We start from the raw sequence: 23,726 nt of genomic DNA on the forward strand, positions 1-23,726 counted from the left end.
CTGCAAGCTCCGTCTCCCAGGTTCGCGCCATTCTCCTGCCTCAGCCTCCCGCGTAGGTGGGACTACAGGTGCCCTCCAACACACCTGGCTAATTAGTTGTTTGTATTTTTAGTAGAGACGGGGTTTCACCATGTTAGCCAGGATGGTCTGTCTCCTGACCTCATGATCCACCCGCCTCGGCCTTCCAGTGCTGGGATTACAGGCGTGAGCCACCGCACCTGGCCTCTAGGTTTAAGATTTGAACAAGACTGAGAACCTTATAGGCCTTCAATAAATACCTCTGGGCTGATTATTTAAATGGCAGCATCAGATCGATACATGGTATTTTCCCATTACTTAGGCATTTCTAAAGCAAATATTCCCATTCTCTAACGCCATTCATTTTCAAAAAGCTCTCAAGTCTTTCAACATTTTAAAAGAAGATAAAAATTTGATTTTCCAAGGTAGGGAATTAAGTAGCCTCTAATTTATTCTGTTCATTCTACCTCACACATATACACTCCAGTCAAATGTCCTGTAAACCATTCTGCATAGAGTAGAACAGACACACAATGCTTCATGAAGGTGGAGACTTTAATCATCTACAAAGCCCTCAGACCTGTTTTACTTTATATGTTTAATCATACAGATGCCATCTACAGTATTTTGTAGTTAGTAAGCAGCAATAAAGTTTATTCTGTACTACTTTAGCATATTAACTATTACTTTTAAGTTGAAATAGAAAAATTATATCACTGTCTTTTCATCTTGAAGCAATAACAATGAACTCATAACTCAAATCTGTTTACCAGCTTAAGAGAAGCATTTAAAATCATATAGGCTTTTTCTATGCTTTATTAGAAAGATTTATGGAGGGGGAAAAAATGGTAGAATTATTCCAAGGCATGTTCAGGAACAACAACAACAAAAAGAATTTGTAACTGCAATTCCAGCGTTTCATAAATGTCCTCTATTTCCATTTAAAAACTCTCTAAAATTAACATAATTAAAGCAGCTAATAAAACACAATCCCTGCAACTTTTATATATAAGGAAAGTCCTCATACAGTATCAGTAGACCATGGCTTATAAATAAAATATACTGTATTTGTTATCAAATATAGAAACAACAGTTCCAGATTTATGTTTTTTGAAAAAATTAATTTATTTTAAGTTAAGGATCTCTACGTAAATTTATTTTGGTATCAAACAACTGCAATTAGTGATGGGGGGATAAAAGCATCCCTAATTGTGGAAGGATGGTAATTTATTTACAAAAACTATACAAAATTAGATTAATTATAACAACAACTTATCAAAGGTTCCTGAAATTAATTTTGCTTTTGAAAAAGTATCAAAAGTCTTCAGATCCAGAATGATAGCATTTTATTATTTCTGATTCATGGAATTATAGCACATCAGATCTTTAAGCAACTACATCAGATAAAATCCTAGATAATAAAATATTCTTCATTTCCTGACAGCTTGGAATGTAAATGAAAACTTGTTCCATTTTTATTAAAGAAAAAACCTAGAATAATGCATCCAATGGTATCAAATACCTGTTAGAATGGCGTGTCTGCTATAATTAAACATGGGCAATTAGTTCTACATAGTTAAAAATTGCCTTAAATTAATTCCTTCCTTTAATAAAAAAGTTTTTCTCAGTCATTTCAGATCTCTGTTATTCGGTTTTAACTAGGAAATTTGCATTTACATAAGGAATCTTCAAAATAGTATATATTTAAAAAGTGCATATAAGCAAAACTAAATTTCTCAAATTAAATAATTTAATATTGTATTGTAAAATACAAGTAGCCTTAAGAGAAACATGCTTCGTCAATCTTTTGCTTTTAGGTTTGGTGCCCAAACATTTAAAAATAAAGAAAAAAATACCACGACTCTTTGCTAATGGCTTTTAAGATTTGCAGACACAGCTAAATACTCATCTAACAAAGTATCCAGGCTATCCAACTATATTGCCATGAATTCATAAGACAGTAACACACATTTATAATATAAAAGTAGTCAAAAAAATAAAAAGAAACAGCCACAGGTAATTTAGGGCTAAAATGAGTCCTAATAAGGGTTACATGAGAAATAACATATAAGACCCCAAATAAATTTTAGATACAAAATTAAATGATGTGGCTTTGTTCAAACATACCTAAAATTCAAAATCAAGTTAAATACCTAGGCTGGCTTTTTTATATCACCAGCTTTCATTAGGGCTTTAATCGCTCTTGCCCTCATCTCAAGTTCTAGCAGCTCCAGTTGCTGTGCAGAAGGTTGAACATCTTCTGGTGGAGGAACAGCCAGGGTGGCTGCTTTGGGTTCGTTTGGGCTAGACTCTGCCAGTCCTAGAATCTCATTCACACTTTTCTCAATGTCTTTCTCCAGGTCATCTATCTGACCAGCTTCACTTTGGACTGTATTTTCTGGTGCCTCGGGAGCAGCTGCTTCTTCGTTGCATGGGCCTTCTATGTCGCTGTCATAAGCATCTGCATTTATACTGAGTACATCACTATCTTCCCCTTTTCCTGTAACCAAAAAAGGAGAAAGATCCATGTAACCTAAATACCATGGGTCACAATTTCCTTACTGTTTATAATTTAAAAACTGCTTTGATCCCACCTCCCACTATGGAGTCCCAAACACATTCCATAATCCCCATGCCACCCTCTTTTCCCCTGACTCCTCAACCTTCAAAGCAGATCTAATGTAATGTAAATTCAAATGTATTTTTCATTCTGATTTAGTAGAACATGGGAACATTAAGAAATTTCTTCCATCATATGCAGTACCCATGATCTATTTTCCTAATTAAAATGTCATAACATTTTTATCACAGTAAAGCTTCTGCACTACAAAATGAAAGCTGACATTGGAAATCCTCTGGATACAGTATGGCTTACTATTCAAGCAGTAAAATTTCATTCTAGAAGGTGTTTAAATACTTTGCTTTATAAACTACAAAAAAGAAAAAGTATCATCAGCAAGCAGGACAACATATGCATTGCAATTATCCCAATCTTTTCATACGCTTTTTCAAACACTTTGTTCCAAATCAATAAATTAAAGAAGAATGCCTAAGGCCATTTTCTAAGGTAAAATTTGTTTTAATGACGAGGATTTTAATTAACAAAGTTAGTTCACCATAATTTTAAAAAATGCATTTGTTATAAAACTTCTATAACTGATGCTAACAACATAAATAAACACAGATTATGGTTCTCGACCACCTTGTTCTTGGCATTGAATACTACTCAATTCCAGGCATCATTTGCAACTTTGAATACTCACTTATATTCCTAATTAATTTATCTTTTAAATATTGAATATGTTTTTTGTGTGTTTTTCTTGCATTTTCTTTTTTTTCTTTTTATTTTATTATTATACTTTAAGTTTTAGGGTACATGTGCACAATGTGCAGGTTAGTTACATATGTATACATGTGCCATGCTGGTGTGCTGCACCCATGAATATGTTTTTTTTTTTAAAAAGTCATGATCCCCAAAATGTTAGCTTTCCCTAATATAAGAAAGCTTTGATAGCGCTTTCCTTACAGTAGGGAAAGCTTCTTTACAAAACATAGATTGACAGATGGTAAATTCTGATAACAGACTGTACAGGAAGGACATAAACAATTATACTCCATTGGTTTTATAATCAATGATGATTTACTGACCTTCAGTGATCCTCCTACATGCTTATAATTGAAAAACCACCCCCATTCCAAAATTAAAGTGGAAAATAAAACAAAAAATTATTTTTGTGTCCATAAATAGAACTTGTAAAAATAAGATTATCATTTTATTTGATGGCAAAGAACATTTTATATATGTCCGCAAAGCAACAAATATTTCCAAATAGCATAAAAAACTACAGAAAATTGAATAAAACCTTTCAAGAAACAATATTTTATACAAGTATTCTAACTTGAGACTAAAATAGATTTAAGAAAATAAGGCCAGGTGCAGTGGCTCATGCCTGTAATCCCAGCACTTTGGGAGGCTGAGGTGGGCAGATCACCTGGGGTCAGGAGTTTGAGACCAGCCTGACCAACATGGAGAAATCCCATCTCTACTAAAAATACAAAATTGGCCAGGCGTAGGGGCACATGCCTGTAATCCCAGCTACTCGGGAGGCTGAGGCAAGAGAATCACTTGAACCTGGGAGGCGGAGGTTGTGGTGAGCCAAGATCGTGCCATTGCACTCCAGCCTGGGCAATAAGGGTGAAACTCCGTCTCAAAAAAAAAAGAAAATAAGTGCTAAGTTGTTCACAGCCTCAAAAAATTAACTTTAGTGTCTCCGAGGCTTTACCTAAAATTTAAAGTGTATAGTCACTGATTCTGAATAAGAAACTACAGGCTGTATAAAATATTTTAAAATACAAATTTTTGAAAAATGTGACTTGTTTTTCAGACTAGGGGTTGTTGCGAGATAATGAATGAAGAGCTGAATAATATAATGAGGGGGTGGAGAAGAGGTAAACGGTAGTTGATTCAGAGGCTTGATCAGACTCAGGTTCAATTTTCTGGTAAGAATATTTAGAAGTGACGTTGTGTACTTCCAGCACATAATATATAATTGCTTTTCTTTTTGTGATCATGTCAGTATCCATTGAGATTGGGTATTGTCTACAGTGGCTGATGAGAATACTCTTGATTCCCTGAACCTAACCATTGTAATGCTTTTGTCTGTAATCTAGTTTTTTTCTGTGGCAACTTTCAGGAACTTTTTTTATTCTTGAATTCTATTTCACAGGATGTGTCTTAGGTTTGATGTTCTACACGTGGCAAGCCCTTTCAGGGTGACGGCCTTCTTCACCTCCTAACAGTTTTATCCAGATTATTTCTTTATTTTCCCTTTTCACTATCTACTTTCTTGCTTTCTGACTTATTCTGTCACTTTATCAAGTCCCTGCTCAAATGGTACCTTATCAGATCATAGTGATCACTCTCTGTGAAAGTGTCATCCTGCTACTGTCTTCTTATCCTGTTTTATTTTTCTTCATTGCACCTGACATTTTTATGTATTTTTACTCTCTCTCTACTACTTAAATGTAGGGCAGAGATTTTTGTTGTTGTTCCCTGCTGTTTCCTTGGTGCTTAAAACAGTGTCTTGTACACAGCAGGTGCTCAGTAATATTTGTTGAATTATACTCAGTTCATGTTGGACTTCATGAGTTGTTCATCTTCATCTCTTAACTTTTATTGCACATTTAAAAATATTTTTCTTTTCTGGATTTTGAGATATTTCCTTAACATGATCTCCCAGCACTGCTGAATATTTGCTTTTTCTGTCACCCAGGCTGGAATGCAGTGGCACAATCTCTGCTCACTGCAACCTCCACCTCCAGGGTTCAAGCGATTCTCCTGCGTCAGCCTTCTGAGTAGCTGGGATTACAAGCACGTGCCACCACACCCGGCTAATTTTTGTATTTTTAATGGAGACGGGGTTTCACCATGTTGGTCAGGCTGGTCTGGAACTCCTGACCTCGTGATCCACCCACCTCAGCCTCCCAAAGTGCTAGGATTACAGGTATGAGCCACCACGCCTGGCCGATATCTGTAATTTTAAATTCTAACAATTCTTGGTCTCTGGCTTTTTATCATTGCACCCTGTTTTATGGCTGCAGTGTCCACATTAGTCTCTCTCATAAGGATATTAAATGGACTCTCTTCTTCCCTTTTCTCCAAAAGATTATCTTCTGATCCCTGAATTTTATTTCTTCTTTTGTTTATCTTGGTCCTTCATTTGTTTTAGCTATGTTTTTCTGGTAGCTGGTTTGGTTTTTTTGAGCAGTTGTTTATTTCTCTAACAGATCTTTTTCTTTGATATAAAATGGATGAGGGGTAGGCCTCTCAGAGTAGAGTGCTTGGATATATGGCCGTGAAAAGGAGGGAAAGGAGGAGGAGTTCAGTTGGCTTAATTATTCAAAATGAATTTAATTTTAATTGCCATGTTGTTTGTTCCACAGCCAATTCTTCCTTCTTTCCAAGACTCAAGAAAGAGTTACACTTACCAGCTGGGCACGGTGGCTCACGCCTGGAATCCCAGCACTTTGAGAGGCCAAGGCAGGTGGATCACAAGGTCAGGAGTTCAAGACTAGCCTGGCCAAGATGGTGAAACCCCACCTCTACTAAAAATACAAAAATTAGCCGAGCGTGGTGGCGGGTGCCTGTAATCCCAGCTACTATGGAGGCTGAGGCAGAGAACTGCTTGAACCCAGGAGGCAGAGGGTGCAGTGAGCCGAGATTGCGCCACTGCACTGCAGCCTGGGTGACAGAGCGAGACTCTGTCTCAAAAAAAAAAAAAAAAAAAAAAAAGAAGAAGAAAAAAAAGAAAAAAGAAAGACTTACACTTATCTATGGTGTCTTTGGCTATGATTTTCCTTTCTTTTGTCAATTTGATCCTGTCTACTTATATTTTGTGAAAACCATAAAATTTCTAATCTTTACATTATATCTTTTTTGTTATACTGTAAATTCATTTTTTCTTTTAACGCTTTTTACAGTTCATTCTTGTAAAAGGTTGAAGAAATACATGTTCACAGAGCAAAATGGGAAAATTAATTTTTCTTCTTTTTTTTTTGAGACAGAGTTGCACTCTTGCTGCCCAGGCTGGAGTGCAATGATGCGATTTCAGCTCACCACAACCTCCACCTCCCAGGTTCAAGCAATTCTCCTGCCTCAGCCTCCCAAGTAGCTGGGATTACAGGCATGCGCCACCATGCCTGGCTAATTTCGTATTTTTAGTAGAGACGGGGTTTCTCCATGTTGGTCAGGCTGGCCTCGAACTCCCAACCTCAGGTGATCTGCCTGCCTCAGCCTCCCAAAGTGCTGGGATTACAGACATGAGCCACTGCGCCCGGCCAATTTTTCTTCTTCTTTTACTCCCCTTCCCAGAAGTAATCACTGTTAATAACTTATTTATTTTATTTTTAACAAAAACATAATTATCACTCTTTGGCTTACTTTTTTGACTTAAAAATATATCTTGGTCATTTTTTTTCATCTTAGCAATGTACTAGCTTCTTTTATAGACAGATAAAAATCCTCGTTTTTACTAGTAAGTAAAAAGCAATATTTTTTTTTTTTTTTTTTTTTTTTTTTTTTTTTTGACACGGAGTCTTGCTCTGTCACCCAGGCTGGAGTGCAGTGGCGCGATCTCGGCTCACTGCAAGCTCCACCTCCCGGGTTCACGCCATTCTCCCGCCTCAGCCTCCCAAGTAGCTGGGACTACAGGCGCCCGCCACCACGCCCAGCTAATTTTTTGTACTTTTGGTAGAGACGGGGTTTCACCGTGTTAGCCAGGATGGTCTCGATCTCCTGACCTCGTGATCCGCCCGTCTCGGCCTCCCAAAGTGCTGGGATTACAGGAGTGAGCCACCGTGCCCGGCCAAAAGCACTATTTTTTTAATTTACATTTATCTGATTAGAAATTAGGTTGAGCATTCTTTTCCACGTGTGTATTGCCTTCTGTATTTCCAGTTTTGTGAAATATCTGACTTGTTTCTACCCTTTGCCCATGTTTTTGTTTCTTAATAATACCTACATTCTATATATTCTTATATTTGTCCTTTTTTTGTAGTTTTCCTGTCTTATAATTTTATTTATGGTGTTTTTTTTTCTCAGAAATATTAACATTTAGCTAAATCTGTTGATTTTTTTTCCCTTTGTTTATTCCCTATTTTGTGGTTTACTTTGGAAGGACTGCTGTTTATTAGTTTTGTCATCAGTTAATTTACAACTTATGTTATTATTTTAAGTATCCCTCTTCTGTCACTTCAGTGGGTTCTTGGTAGGGAGGGGAAGTAGATACGTATGTTCAATTTGCTGTCTTTAGAGGAAATTCACACCAGTATCTAAATAATCCATGTTCTAGAGTTTGTCTTGGCTTAATTTAATAATTCACTATCAAGAGGTTTCACAAGCATATCACTGAAAACACTAGATATACTTTAATCTTATGCATAAGAACTGTTTCTGATAAGCTGAATTATTATCAACTCGAATATTTATAAGTCCTATCAAGGTTTAAATACTTTAGCATAACTTAAAAGTTCCTTTTATTTTTATAACTCAGAATGTTTGTGATGTGATTAACAGTTCTTATATGTGGCCAGGCGTGGTGGTTCATGCCTGTAACCCAGCACTTTGGGAGGCCAAGATGGGCGGATCATGAGGTCAAGAGATGGAGACCATTCTGGCTAACACAGTGAAGCCCCGTCTCTACCAAAAAATACAAAAAAAATTAGCCGGGCCTGGTGGCAGGCACCTGTAGTCCCAGATACTCAGGAGGCTGAGGCAGGAGAATGGCGTGAACCCGGGAGGCGGAGCTTGCAGTGAGCCAAGATTACACCACTGCACTCCAGCCTGCGCGACAGAGCGAGACTCCATCTCAAAAAAAGAAAAAATAGTTCTTATATGTTTGTTTACTTTCATTGGATATTCTATTTAAAACTTTCAACAGAAAGCAAACCTATGCCACAAGTGTTTACTTTTATCTAATTTAGAGAATCCCACAGCTCTCACGCACTGAGGTTTGTTATAGATGATAATAAAAACAGTGGTATTACATTTTAGTTTTTTCTATTATGTGGCACACTCCTTTTTATTTATATTAGGAGTATATTACTTTTAGAGAGATTGGGTCTTATGTTGTTTATTTTTTCTCCTGGCTAATAAAATGTTTAGAGTGTTGGCTGTTCTATTTAGCTGCCAAATATTTTGCCTTTATGGTTTTATCCCATATTCACAACTATGGCTCACTGAATAACATAAACATATAAATTTTTTTTGTTTTGTTCTGAAAAATTATTCCATTTATTTATATGTCAGTGATGAATCTGAGCAGTGACTGGTTCATTCTGCTGTCTAGACACTAAGCCTAGATGGATTCGTTTATTTAAAAAATCTTCAGTACTTGGGTGCGGAGTTTGAGATATGAATCAAGTCGGTAGGACTGAAGATAGCAGGAAAACAAGAGAAATAGTGAAAGTATACAGGCTAGACGACAGTGTAATACAACAAAGGTACATTGGTGAGTAGCTAGCCAGAGGATCAACTATAAGGGATGAATGCATGATAAAGCCCTTTTTTTCCCTGAGAAATCTTTTACATCTTTGTCTTCCTATAACTATTGCCTAGTCAAGCTCTTAAACTACTTTACTCCTTTCTCATAAGCTATTTGCTCCATTTCTTCATTTGTATTGTTTTTCTCTCAAGTGCCCTAAATGGTATGTAGTATTTCAAACCCCATCTTAGTGAAGGAGCACAGTTAATGTAAGGAATATATCGTATCTTCTTGTTTCTTTGTGTATTGTTTAAAGTTAACTTTAGTTCTTTCGCTGCTCTGTAACATCAGTAACTTAGATCTAAGTTTTTACTTGCTATCTTTCCTGTGCCACTTTGATTATTATGTCTCTAGTTAACAGTCTGAATTTTTATTCTTATTATTGTTAATTGCATTTTTTATATTTTACCTCAGGCCCAACTGTCTTTTATTTTTCTTGGTGGATTTCAATAACATTAGTTTAACATCATGCATACATCAAAACTGTTTTTATTTCCTTTTTTTCTTTAGGTATTTTTTAAAAAGCTTAAATTAAGTGGGCTTAAAGTACTAGCAGTGCCTTTGTAGAACCCAAACACCTCTTTAGTTCATAAACAGATTTTTGACATTTTACCATAAACCATGTTATATGATTACTTCTAATAGTAAAACAATTTTTTTTTTTTTTTGAGATGGAGTCTCACTCTGTCGCCCAGGCTGGAGTGCAGTGGCATGATCTCGGCTCACTGCAAGCTCCGCCTCCCAGGTTCACACCATTCTCCTGCCTCAGCCTCGCGAGTAGCTGGGACTACAGACACCCGCCACCAAACCCAGCTTATTTTTTGTATTTTTAGTAGAGACAGGGTTTCACCGTGTCATCCAGGATGGTCTTGATCTGTGACCTCGTGATCCGCCCCCTTGGCCTCCCAAAGTGTTGGGATTACAGGCGTCAGCCACCACGCCCGGCTAGTAAAACAATTTTTTAACAAAACTTTATGAAGACTTATTTTAATGCTTTATCAAAATAGGTATCACATTACCTGTTATATTTCTTGCTACTGACTAGACTTTATTTGAAGGAGTAGAAATAATTTACCTCACTTCTTCCTGAAAACTCTCTCTCTCACACACACACAAACACACAAGTACGTGGGCAGAGTGGGGGTTGGAGAGACAGAACATGACTACCCCAAAAATGTCGAGATCTTTGAATGAGTTATTTGAGGATGAAGTTACTTCTTTAGAAAGAATGTACAAGTTTTACCTCTTCTGTTTGAGGATCATGATTGATAGGGAAAACCCCATAATTCCCCAATACCAAAAACAAGAGTAAATTATCTTTGGAAATACATTAATAAGTTTGCAGATGATGCTTTTAAAAATGAGTTACTGACTGATTCTACTGGAATGATGAAAATTAAGAAATACTGAAAAGACTTGAAGCATGAAGCTCTTCCAATAATTTGCCATGTTCTATTGTACAAGTCACTTAACGTATACTAAATTATTTCAGATGTATAAAAAGCTTTGGCATCTATGATGCAGTTATAATGGACAGGTGAAACCTATGAAGGCATTCAGCAATACTGTGTTATAGAGAACTTGGCTTTTTTTTTCTTATGTGTAGTGTATTAAGCTACTAATTTAGATTTAAGTGCATTAGGTTGACCATCATTTATAAAATTTAATTGTGGCATGACTGATTTCTAAAGATAAAGAAAAAATGCAAATGATTCAGTAAAGAAAACCTGTCTAGTATTCTACTGAACCATTATTGAACTTCCAAATAACATGAATATCCACCAGCCTGTAAACTTGACTTTTAAGACTCACAAATCCATTAACTATCCCCTTCAGAGATTATTCCAAGAATCAAATAAATATTCACTAAGTATCTTTTACACATGTCATGATGGTGCTGCAAAGGCCTTAGAAGTAGGTGACAAAATATTTGTGACATGATTAAGACACAGGTTTTGCCTTCACAGTATGCTTAATGTATGGCATTATACTTTAACATACCAAATTACGCAATACAAAATATAACAGAATTTCAGAATATACAAGGCAACAGGCAAAAATCAGGGAGATATTCATAGATATATGATATGAGACGGGCCTTTAAGAATGGGTACAATCTAATAGGTGATATTAACAGAAGAGGAAACTGCAAGTGTGAGGGACAGAATGGGCACAAGCAAAATGCTACATGTAAAGCTCAGTACAGAGGTATGTGAGCCTGACAGAATAAAATGCACAGGTGAGAATATATAAAAAAAGGCAGTATCCAAAATTATTGTCTCTGAAGACATCACCATTCTAGGATAAAAAGCACAATAGGGACTCCCTGCTAGTCTTTTACAATGGATCAGATAAGTGGATATTTTTGGTCTTGCATTGGGGCACAATAACAGGCTGACATAAGCAATTCCTGACTATAATCTTTTGTTGAGTAATCTGAAAGTAAATAAAAAACTGTTTAAAATAGCATTTATCATTTCTCCTACCACTGATTAAACAGGGTTCTGGTAGAATAAAAGTTTGATATCAAAAATGAAAATACCCAAAAGGGAAAAATGAAGGCAGAACAGCTGTCTCAATTTCCAAGCATCGGAGTTTGGAAGCAAGCAACTTTTCCCCCTCAAGATTTCTTGGAACTTACACTCATTCAAAAGGGCATCACACTCAAATACTTTCTGTTAGTAACATCTCAGTGCTCCATAATCTACCCATCCTAGGAAAGTGTGCTCAAACTCATTATCTACTTCATAAACTACCATGTTTCCTGTGGCACTGCTTTTGCTTGTTTAAATATAAATATAAGCTCAGAAAGAGATACTAGAGACTTGATTCTAATTTTAGATAATGTAAAATTATTTATTTATTTTTAAATTAAATTTAATTTTTCTGGAGACAGGGTCTCACTTTGTCACCCAGGCTGGAGTGCAGTGGCCCAATCATGGCTCACTGCAACCTCTGCCTCCTGGCTGAAGCAATCCTCCCACCTCAGTCTCCCAGGGCTCATGCCTGTAATCCAGCACTTTGGGAGGCCAAGGGAGGTGGATCACTTGAGGTCAGGAGTTCAAGACCAGCCTGACCAACGTGGTGAAACGCCGTCTCTATTAAAAATACAAAAAATTAGCTGGGCGTGGTGGTGTGCACCTATAATCCCAACTACTCAGGAGGCTGAGGCAGGAGAATTGCTTGAACCCGGGAGGCGGAGGCTGCAGTGAGCTGAGATCACGCCACTGCACTCCAGCCTGGGTGACAGAGAGAGGCTCTGTCTCAAAAACCAACAACAAAAAAAAAGGGTATTGAGAGAAGAGGGGAGGTGAACAGAAGTAGGTTAGGGAAGGGAAGGCTTCATAGATAATGGAGATAATCTTAAAAACAGTAGTTTGATGTAAATAAGAGTACACTACTGGTGTAAATAAGTTTAGATTTCAGATTTGACATATTGGAACACATGTATTAAAACCTGCAGTCACAACTGATAGGCTGTGAAGTAGACATGTGATAGATCAACACAGTCCTGCTTTTCAAAAGGTGACTTCTATAAGACTACAGTACAGTAAATCTGACATCAATTCCCAGTGAAATTCTAGGTTTATTAGAAGGTTTACGAGCTCTGGAAAAAAAAAAATTAGTATCAACTAGTTTAGACAGATCAGGTAACATTTGATCAGGAATCTAAATGATGCATGGAAGACCCATATGGTTATCTGAGGAGGAAGCGGGCAGGCAGAAGGAACAGCAAAAGCAAAGCCTCTGACACAGGAGTGTTTGGAGTGCTAGAAGAAAGCAAGGAGGCAGGAGCAGAGAGAGCAAGGTGGAGAGTAACAAGTCACATCATGTTAAGGCTGTATACTGGCCAAAGGAAAGATGGACTATGGATTTTGTGTAGAGATGGGAAGCTATTAGAAGGCTTTGATAAAGAACAGTGACATGACCATTCATACAGTACAAAATAATCAGACTGCTGTGTGAAAGAGACTCCCGGGAGCATGGATAGAAACAGTGGGATCAGGATGGAGATGAAGGAAAGGACTAAGGAATGATTCCAAGGTTCTTGGCCTGGACACTGAGAAGAATGTAACTGCTATTTATTAAGACGAGATGGATGGTAGAAGCAGCAAGGTATTGCTGTTTTTATGTTTCTTGTTTTTAGGGTGGGTGGGGAGTCACAGAGGGATCTAGAATTTATTCAGGCACATGCTAACTTAAAATGCTTATTGGACATTTAATAAGTAAACTGGATACACAAGTGTTAGAAGTCTGAATTGTAGAAATAAGTTAGTAGTTGCCAGTCTTAAAACTACATAAGATCATCAGTTAGACAGTGTAGAAAAAAGTCAGTCCTGGGGCACTCATCCTTTAGAAGTCATAAAAAGCCAGGAAAGCCAGTGTCAAGAAAGAGAAAATAACCAATGCTGTCAAATGCCGCTGATGGGTCAAGATGAGCACTGAGCAATGACGAGTGAAATGGCTGCTGGCAATAATTCACTAGAGAGGGGAACATTAATTAGGTGGAGAAATGAAGTATTCGCAGGTACCAAAAGGTAGCAGGATCAGTACTCAAACAGAGGGTCTGGTCTCGGCAGCACAAAGAGTTCATCCATTTTAACAGGAGATAAGGGGAGTATACAGGTTCAGATACAGATAGATATGAAAAAATTTATTTACATATCTGTTTTCCTTTATTAGACAAGTTCTTTCCAGATCCAGACATATTTATCTTTCTATCCCTAGTGCCTAGAACAAAACAGTAGGTTTGCTGGATGAAGGGGTGAACTTCAAAATTTGAAGAGCTATTATTTAGAAGATGTATTAAACTCTTTTTCTTCAAACCAAAGGGCACAGAGAAACCAATGAGTACAAGTTACGTAAAGGCATATTATGATTCAATATATAGAGACCCTTTTACCAATTAGAAACTGCCAGGTTGATACTGAGGTGATGAGACAGAAAACAACAATGATAACAGAAATAATTACAAGGGCTGATACTTTTGAGCATTTAATATCTACTAAGCACTGCTCTAAAGCATTTTGCATGTATTAATTCATTCAATCCTTACACCTACATAATGAAATAGGCATTCATATTTACTATCCTCATTTTATAAATGAGGAAGCTGAGGAACAGAGAGTTTAAGTAACTTGCCCTAGGTTCACATAGCTAAAGTAGCAGAAACAAAATTCAAACCCAAGTAAGTTTCCAAAACCTATGCACTTAAAACATTCTATACTATTTCCCAGAACTTAACAGATTCAAAATAACCACAGAAGCTTCACAAATTAGGATGCTGGGTTCAGCTGAATGTATCTTCTTCTTGTGGGTCCCTTAAATGATATATTTACAAAGTCTCACCTGAATAAACATAGTATGTACCAAACATACACCTAGAGTCTGTGTATTAAATATGAATAAATAGTAAGAGAACAAAAAGACAAGTTACAGATTCACAGAAAACATCTGCAAAACATATGTGACAAAGCACTGGTATCCAAAATATATAGAGACCTCTTAAAGCAACAATACGAAAACAACCCAGTTTTTAAAATGCACAAATGATCTGAGAAGACAACTCACCAAAAATATAGAAATGGCAAATAAGTGTATGAAAGATGTTCAACATCACATATCATTAGGGAATTGCATAAGAAACAAGAGATTACTTATATGCCTATTAGAATGACCAAAATCCAAAACACTGACACTACCAAATGCTGATAGGAATGTGGAGCAATGGGAACTCTCATTCATTGTCAGTGGGAATGCAAAATGGTACACTTTGGAATACAATTAAGCAATTTCTTACAAAACTAAACTTGGTATTTATCCAAATGGGTTGCAAAGTTATGTCCACACAAAAACCTGCACACTATTTTATCCATAATTGCCAAAACTTGGAAGCATCCAAGATGTTATGGGTGAATGGATGAACAAACTGCTGTACATCCATGCAATGGAAAATATTCAGCAATAAAACAAAATGTGTTATCAAGCCACACAAAGACATAGAGGAACTTCAAATACTGAGTGACAGAAAACAATCTGAAAAGGCTACACACTGTATGATTCAAAACTACAGAGATTCCAGGACAAGCATAACTATAGGGACTATAAAACGATCAGTGGTTGTCAGGAGTTGGGGGGGAGAGAGTGGGCAGGATAAATAGGTAGAACACAGAAGACTTTTAAGGCAGTGAAAATATTCTATATATTGTAATAGTGGATTGATGTCATTATAAAATTATCAAAACCCACAGAATGTACAACACAAAGGTTAAGCCCTAATCATAAATTATGGACTTGGTTAATAATAATGTACAAATTGGTTCACTTGGGGAAGAGTTGGTAAGCAGGTATATGGGAACTCTCTGTACTTCCTGCTCACTTTTTCTGTAAACCTAAAGCTGCTACCAAAAAAAAAGCCTTTAATAAAAAATAAAATGTAAGTTCATCGTGTATCAACTATACGATGTAGCAGCCAAAACTGCAAATTAAATCATAGACTATGATGTGCTGTGTGTAAAGAGTTCTGAAACTGGTAACCAAATCTGGATTCAAGCCTAGTATTTACTGTCTTTCCTTTGGTAGGAGCACTTTGGTAAAGAGCTGCTTTCCCTAATGAACTGGGTAAGAGCGTAATGACTAAAAAGAACTCAGTGTCCCAATAATGACTGAAGGTTTACACTATGTGACCTCCAAAGTAGATGCCTTAAGAGTGTGTCTAAGATCCTATGATACACATCACAGGATAGAATGTTTAAAATGAGTACTTAAGGACACATAAAAATAAACATTTCTCTCAAAATACTGAAATCTTTGTGGTGCAATCATGGCTCACTGCAGCTTCGACCTCCTTCCTGGGTTGAAGCGATCCTCCCTCCTCGGCCTCCTAAAACTCTGGGATTGTGGGTGTGGGCATGAGCCTGGCCAGTAATTTTTTTTAAAAGGGGGGGGGTAGAATTTGAGCCTATTTAAAGCAAAACTCTGTGTGCATATTTTGTGCTTGCATGTCTTTAGGGAAAAGATTCTCACATGCGACAGTTAATGTACAAATATTCAAAATAAGATGTAAATATCTTCATTGATTTTGGTCATTTTATATACCATTTAATTATATTATTTATTTTAATGACTGTATTCAAATGAATATATTTTAAGGAACCATTAAACAGATCAAAGACTAAATCAAACATATTTTCTTTTCTTCCAATAGAATAAAAAATGTAGAGATAGCAAAAAAGAGTGTATATTTCACATTGCTTCCATTAAACAATTTAGGAAAACAGTTATTAACCATTCTTCCTAAGTACAAACAATGCACTAGGCACTGGTCTTAAAACCTGACAGCTAGAAAGGAACTAGAAGATCAAGGCCAAACAGCCAACCATTGCTTGAATCCTCTACAACAGCACCACCAAGTGGCTATTTATGTGGCCTGTGTCCAAACACCTTCAGCATCAGAAACATGTCTTAGAAGGCAGTCCACTGTGTTAGACCAAAAAATTTTGTCTAATGATAATGCTATCTATTGGTTCTATTTTTTTTCTCCAAGGCCATACAGAAAAAAATCTAATCACGCTTCCATTTAATAGTCCTTCAAATATTTTACAGCAACTATAAACCTCAACTCCTCAATCTAACTTAACAAAGCTATTTCTCATGTATAGTTTTAAAATTTCTCTCATGAAAACTTCCAAGAAAAAATACAAAAACCATAAGAACTTAATTTTTGAATTTACAAAGGAAAATAGTTCACAAAATGACATACTTCTCCAACTGTAAACTTTAAAGCAACAATTTAAATACAGACCAATATTTTACTATTGCTGAATGTCTTGAGTAAACTTAACATTAGCAGATACTTGATATTTTAAAAATATTGTCTACAAATGAAATACCTTCAACAGTTTTTATTTTTAACTAGAGCACAACTGACCAATTCAGAAAATTTATATAAGCCACCATTATATGAAAAGCAGCAATCTCTGAAATCCTCAAGGAAATTAACATAAGATCTGAAACTTGTACATGTGAGCTTGCACAGGTATGCGCATGCACACATACACCTACACATGTGCTACAGCTGTGCTAATGAGTAAAAACTATAACTGATGTTTCTTATACAACTACATTCTGAGTGAAATGAATGATTTAAGAAATAATTTCTGGCCGGGTATGGTGGCTCACGCCTGTAATCCCAACACTTTGGAAGGCCAAGGTGGGTGGATCACCTGAGGTAGGGAGTTCGGGACTAGCCTGACCAACATGGTAAAACCCCATCTCTACTAAAAATACAAAAATTAGCCGGGTGTGGTAGTGGGCATCTGTAATGCCAGCTACTCGGCAGGCTGAGGCAGGAGAATTGCTTTAACCCAAGAGATGGAGGTTACAGTGAGCTGAAATCACACCACTGCACTCCAGCCTAGGTGACAGAGCAAAAAAACAAAAACAAAAACAAAAAAGAAAGAAAGGAAGAATTTCTAACAGAAGAGTTTCTGTTTTACTACAGTACCAATCATTGAACCAATAGATTATATTTACATTTAAATAACATTTTCACTGTAAAGGTAGTTCCTTTTATTAGCTCATTATTAAAGTGCAGTGGAAGTTAGTGTAAAATCTGATACTCATCTTCAGTACTGCCGGTTTCAAAAATATTTTCTAGCAACAAAGATGAATGAAACCAGTACTAGACAAAAAAATGCCAATTTCAACTTAATTCATAATTAATACTTGTGTATTATTCAAGCAATACTTCAGTATTTTAAATGCTCTAAATACTGATAATGTAATTTAAATAACTTATATACCATTAATAGGTCACATGATATGATTTATTTTATTCTGAAAGAGCAAAAAGAAAATTCAATGCTGCTTTATATTTTGGTCTACTGAACAAAAGGTTACTTTCGTACTAAATAAGCTTCAGTGAATTGTCTCAATTGGTCAAGCCATTAAAATGACAATGCATTCACAAGGAGCTTATATTCTGCTTTTATTGAGCTCACTGTGAACAAAAATAGCTAGTTATGCAAGAAAAGTTAGAGATATTAGATTTTGCAGGTTATGCACATTACAAATAGACAATATTAGTGCACTTAGAAAACAGGGAATAATCTTTATTGAGCCTATCAGGATTTCTATTTCTTGATATACCTCAGCTTGTTTGGTAACTTCAAGCAAGTTACTATCTAGTCAGATTTCAGCTATATTAATATTTATCTGGAAGATGTTTTCCATAAATAAATATTCTAAGTAACTTATCCATTATGCAATAAAACATTTTATATTTTAATCATTTAGTAGATATTCTTCTAAAAGACTTTAATTCCCTGCTTTTTAAAAAAAGGTTAAAACTGGCTGGGTGCGGTGGCTCACGCCTGTAATCCCAGCACTTTGGGAGGCTAAGGCAGGCAGATCACGAGGTCAGGAGATCAAGACCATCCTGGTTAACACGGTGAAACCCCGTCTCTACTAAAAAATACAAAAAATTAGCCGGGCGTGGTGGGGAGCGCCTGTAGTCCCAGCTACTTGGGAGGCTGAGGCAGGGGAATGGTGTGAACCTGGGAGGTGGAGCTTGCAGTGAGCTGATATTGCACCACTGCACTCCAGCCTGGGCGACAGAGGGAGGCTCCATCTCAAAAAAAAAAAAAAAAGAAAAAGAAATTAGCTAGGAATGGTGGCAGGTGCCTGTAGTCCCAGCTACTCAGGAGGCTGAGGCAGGAGAATGGTGTGAACCTGGGAGGCGGAGCTGGCAGTGAGCCGATATTGCGCCATGCACTCCAGCCTGGGCAATAGAGCGAGAGACTGTCTCAAAAAAAAAAAAAAAAAAAAGGTTAAAACTTAATTTAACTATTTGCTAATCATTTAGTCACAACATGAGCATGAACTGTATTGTACAATGGTACTGCTACACTTTGATCTTATGTCTTCTCAACTCTGCTTGATGCCATCAGTGTGTTCCTAATGTCTCATACCTCCTTGAGAACCTGAGTGTGGTTACAGGCTCCTAAGCATAAAAGGCCTGGACTTTTGACATCTGGCTCATTGGAGGTCTTCTTCTCTCCCTCTCTGCACCTTCATGACTGGTTTTTCACATGACTGAAGTTCTCATAAAGAAATCACAGTACAACAGCCTGTTGACACTAGGAAGGGAGTTCTAAACAATTCTGAGTGTGTGAACATGGGAACAGAAAAACATCTTCTCTTACAAGGTAACATTGGCTAATTTGTGGTCTCCATTCCTTTTTCCTAGGAACTGGAAATCAACCTGCCCATTCTAGCTTTTCTTATCCTTTATAGAACATTCTCTTCTCCTCAGATGATGTAATAGCATATCCTCCATACTGCCTGTTCATTTGATACAAAGAGCAGAAACAAAGAAGAAACAGTAGCAGTGTAGTCTAATTATACATGAGGTGTAATCTAATTATACATGAGGTGTAAGGTAATATGATTATGATTATATTATATAAAAATAATATGTGTTTAGCATGTATTTATATGTGACAAATAAATGTCAATTAAACTATGAATCTGAGTTTATGGCGGTGCTCAGAAGAAGTCAGAGTACAAAGACGTAATTTTGTCTGGCTTTATATGAGGTTATCACAACAGGACTTTTGAAAAGCAATGGGAATTTTTGAAACAATCAGAAATATTCATAAATCCTACAGTAAATAAATCAGAATTACAGAAAATCTAGATTTTGCTCTCTCTACATATAAATTGAACAAATCACTAAATTCGCTGTCTAACCTTTTTTTCCACTTTTTAAATTAAGCAGTAATAAAAGACCAGTTTTTAAACAAATTCTGCCTAAATAATGACTTGTTTCTCTCTACCAAATAAGTTCATATGACTCATATTTAAGAGAAACTATTCTAAGCCATCAAAGATTAGGTGATTACATGATAGATAACTTAATCTTCTTGGATGCAACAAATTTTTACTGTTCTGAATTAATTTTATCAGAAACAAATGTGAGCTGGCATTTGAGTAACTAATAAAAACTTATTTTACTTTCAATTCTTCCTACTAAAGATAAAAAGAAGTAAAAAAGGCATTTAAAAGATTAGCCCTACAAATGTACTTGGCTTGAATAAATTAAAATTACCACTTTATTTCTGCTAGCTGGTAATGTCAAAAACTACTGATTTAAAGAAAGCAATAAATGATGAAGAAAGTAAGTAAACAAGGACAAAATACCTCAGGGGGAAAAAAGTTATGCTATAAAACTTACTGGTTTTTTCCCACATACAACCCAAAGCTACCCAGTTAACATATCTCCAATGTCTTGCAGCTGATGATATATAAATTACTAAAATAGGCCGGGCGTGGTGGCTCACCCCTGTAATCCCAGCACTTTGGGTGGCCGAGGCGGGTGGATCACAAGGTCAGGAGATCTAGACCATCCTGGCTAACACGGTGAAACCCTGTCTCTACTAAAAATACAAAACATTAGCTGGGCGTGGAGGTTGGCACCTATAGTCTCAGCTACTTGGGAGGCTGAGGCAGGAGAATGGCGTGAACCGGGAGGCTGAGCTTGCAGTGAGCCAAGATCGCGCCACTGCACTCCAGCCTGGGCGACAGGGCAAGACTCTGTCTCAAAATAAATAAATAAATAAATTTAATTTAATAAATTACTGAAATAAAACTATTCAAGATGATAATTCTGGTGGCTTCTGTAACTAACTAAACATCATAAAATATAATCATTTCAGTAGCTAAAAGAATCATGAAGTGACTGATTTTTGACCAAATAAATTGCTCTCTTCCTCTATCTGTAAAATGGGGTGAGTTAGACACTGAAAATTTATTTTTGGTAAAATGCTTCTATTCTTCAGGTAAATTTTATACAATAATCAAGTACTTGGTTCATACCTTGTTTTAATTCCAAACCTTCAGGTTGCTTATTCTCTCTCACGGATGAAGCAGAATCTATACAGATGTCTTGCCTGGGAAATGAAAATAAGATCAACCTTTAAAACTATATTTAATCACATAATATTTACTACCCAGGTTCCCAGAATTAAGTTAGGCACTAGGGAAGACAGGCTACATTCTTCTAAGCTCCCAGGGTATCATTCAGTGTACTCTGGAAGCTCAGAAACAAGTATTCAAGTGTCAGAAGCAGCAGCTACAAACTACTAGCAATTTAAGCAGTATACTTCTTTGTAAAATCAAGGGGCAAACCTGAAAGGAACATGGAAGTAATTTTTTCTCCCTTACAATACTCTGCAGGGTAGCTGATAGGAGAAATCACAACTCACAGCAGTATCCAATAATTTTTCAAGTTCAACTGTTAAATTTAATGAGCATTTTGGCACTCAAATTACTTTATATTCATTTAATTTCATACCTCAAATGCTTTAATGTCTACAGTATGTGGAAAATACATATTTTATATGTAATATACATATGTAATCAAAGTAAAAGGATTAAATGTAAGATCATGCAAAAAACTTTCAATTCACTATGTTCTGGAATACAGCTGCAAAATAATGTGCTTTCTTAGCATTATACCATCTTAATATTAATATACTTTTCAGCAAAAAGGTCAAGAAATTATAAATGTTCAAATGAGCTATGTGACAATTTTCTTCAAAATAGGTATCTCTGTTGCCTTCTGAGAATTCTTATACATATCCTAAAGCTAACATACTAGAAATATTTAGGAAATCTTCCTACTCAGAAAGTTGTGTCTGTTCATTAACAGTAACAAATCTGTCAAATAACCGAAGGATTAAAAAAGACTTGTGATCATTTCTTTGAGAAGTTTACAATATTCTTTCCAGTCAGCACCTCTGGCACTTAAATGTGTTTTGTATTAAAACTGCACTAATACAAGCCCAAACTCAGAGAATACAAAATTATTTGGCTTTGCTGTTAATTATGACATCAGAAATTTATAATTGAGATCTCAGTGTTTTATACTTCTGTCCAAAGTCACCTACTCAGATTTTATTCGTTCACCAGAATGACTGGCAGGTCCCAAGGAGGATATCAACAATTCTCCTTGGCAATCCAGGGAAAGATTAAATGCCAGTATACTACATTAAGAGCTTTGCAAGGTTTAAAGTTAAAATGTGCTACCTCAAACCTTCCAGTCAAATTAGATTTTACCTACTGGGAGCATTAGTCTTAAGTATCTTCCTTTAGAGAAAACGTTTGCTTTCACACATCCTAGAATTGCATTTAATTATTCTTCTAAACATACACATCTAAATTTACAAAAAAAAAAAGACTTCAAAATATAATGTAACATCACCAATAAGAGGAGGATGGATATATGTAATACTCTAAGGAAGACACAACATCATTTATATAATATTCTAGCTGAGAATATATAACCTGTATTATGAAGAATCACCAGACAAACTCAAAATGGAAATGAGTAATGTTCTGTTAAGGAAAGTTGAATGTCATTGTTATAAAATACAAAGGCTGTGGATCTACTCCAGGTTAAAGGGTTGCTAAAGAGCCAAGACAATTAAATGTTATAACTGACCTGAGACTGCTGAACTGGTAGGGAAAACGTTATGAAGGACATTACTGAGTCAAAAGACAAACTGAAATACTGATGGGGAACTGGATAAAAGTATTTTATCAATGTTAAATTTACTCAAGTTGATACTCTGTTATGGTTACATAATAGAGTATCTCTATCTCTTGGAAAAACACAATGTAACATATAGTGAAAAGTGTCATGGTGTATATAACTTAGCCTCAAATGTTTCATTAAAAAAAACATGTATGTAAGAAGGAAGTATGCAAATGGGATAGAAGGTCAATAATAAGTAAATCTTGATAAAGGGTATATGGATGTTTCTTGTACTATTCTTATTCTTGCAACATTGTAATAAGTCTGAAAGTATTTCCAAATGTTTTAATAATAATGCAATGTAACTGCCTTCCCTATGAAAGCCTCTTAGAGCCCCTTTAAATAAAAATTGGACCCCTCTATAAGGACTATCTTCTCTCATAAACAATTTAGTTTAGTGCCCAAAGTGAACTTCTACAACATTCTATTTTAAGTTGGGTTCTATTAGGCTGTTGAAGTCGCCAAACAGAATTTCAGACAGTAAGTATTTTACACCACCCTGTGGCAGAAAAGTGAAGTTAGATGCTGTCAGTATTACCTGAAGTAAATGGGGAAAAAAAATCCCAGAAAGTCTTCAATAGTTTGAAAATTTAAAATCTATACTAGCTAATTTTTACAAGATGTACTTTATGACTAAAATATAAAGTTCTCTAATACAATTTAAAGATCTCCAATAAATGGCATAAAAGGCAAGATATTTACAAAAAGGAAATATCTTAAATTGTAAGAAAATTATGTGTACAGGTCTTTTTATTTCTAGTTTTATGAAAATAAAAATTTTGTCCACTCTCAGGTGGTAAGACATACTAAGTGCCAGAATCAGGATATATATTTAAATGACATTCAAATATTTCTATCAAACACTTTAAGGAAGAATTTTATAAACAACTGTAAAGAGAGGAATGGGGAGAGGGTGGGAACACACTGCCAAAGCCAGTTTGGGTTAAGAATTTTGCAATTATCTTTGTGCTCCCTTCCGTTTAAATTAAAAAAAAAAAAAAAAAAAAAAGCCTGTTTTTCTTTTTTGAGACAGGTTGTTGTCCCGTCTTCCAGGAGGCTGGAGTGCAGTG

General features: G+C 36.0%; 1 protein-coding gene across 3 annotated transcripts in view; it reads right to left on the reverse strand.

Annotated features, from left to right (window-relative positions):
• Nucleotides 1-555: 555 nt before the first annotated feature.
• Nucleotides 556-23,726, reverse strand: part of CAAP1 (caspase activity and apoptosis inhibitor 1) — a 52,118-nt gene continuing 28,947 nt past the window's right edge. For 2 of the 3 annotated variants that reach the window (NM_024828.4, NM_001167575.2), the window contains exons 5-6: nt 20,937-21,010; nt 556-2,518 (exon numbers count right to left, since the gene is read on the reverse strand). In NM_024828.4, the coding sequence (NP_079104.3) occupies nt 2,172-2,518; nt 20,937-21,010 (421 nt within the window). In that variant the 3' untranslated portion in view covers nt 556-2,171. Of the gene's footprint in view, nt 2,519-20,935; nt 21,011-23,726 lie in introns of those variants that run through there. The other variant, XM_047423896.1, reaches the window with a different exon arrangement.

This window comes from Homo sapiens, chromosome 9 (genome assembly GCF_000001405.40).
Source record: "Homo sapiens chromosome 9, GRCh38.p14 Primary Assembly".
NCBI lineage: Eukaryota > Metazoa > Chordata > Mammalia > Primates > Hominidae > Homo > Homo sapiens.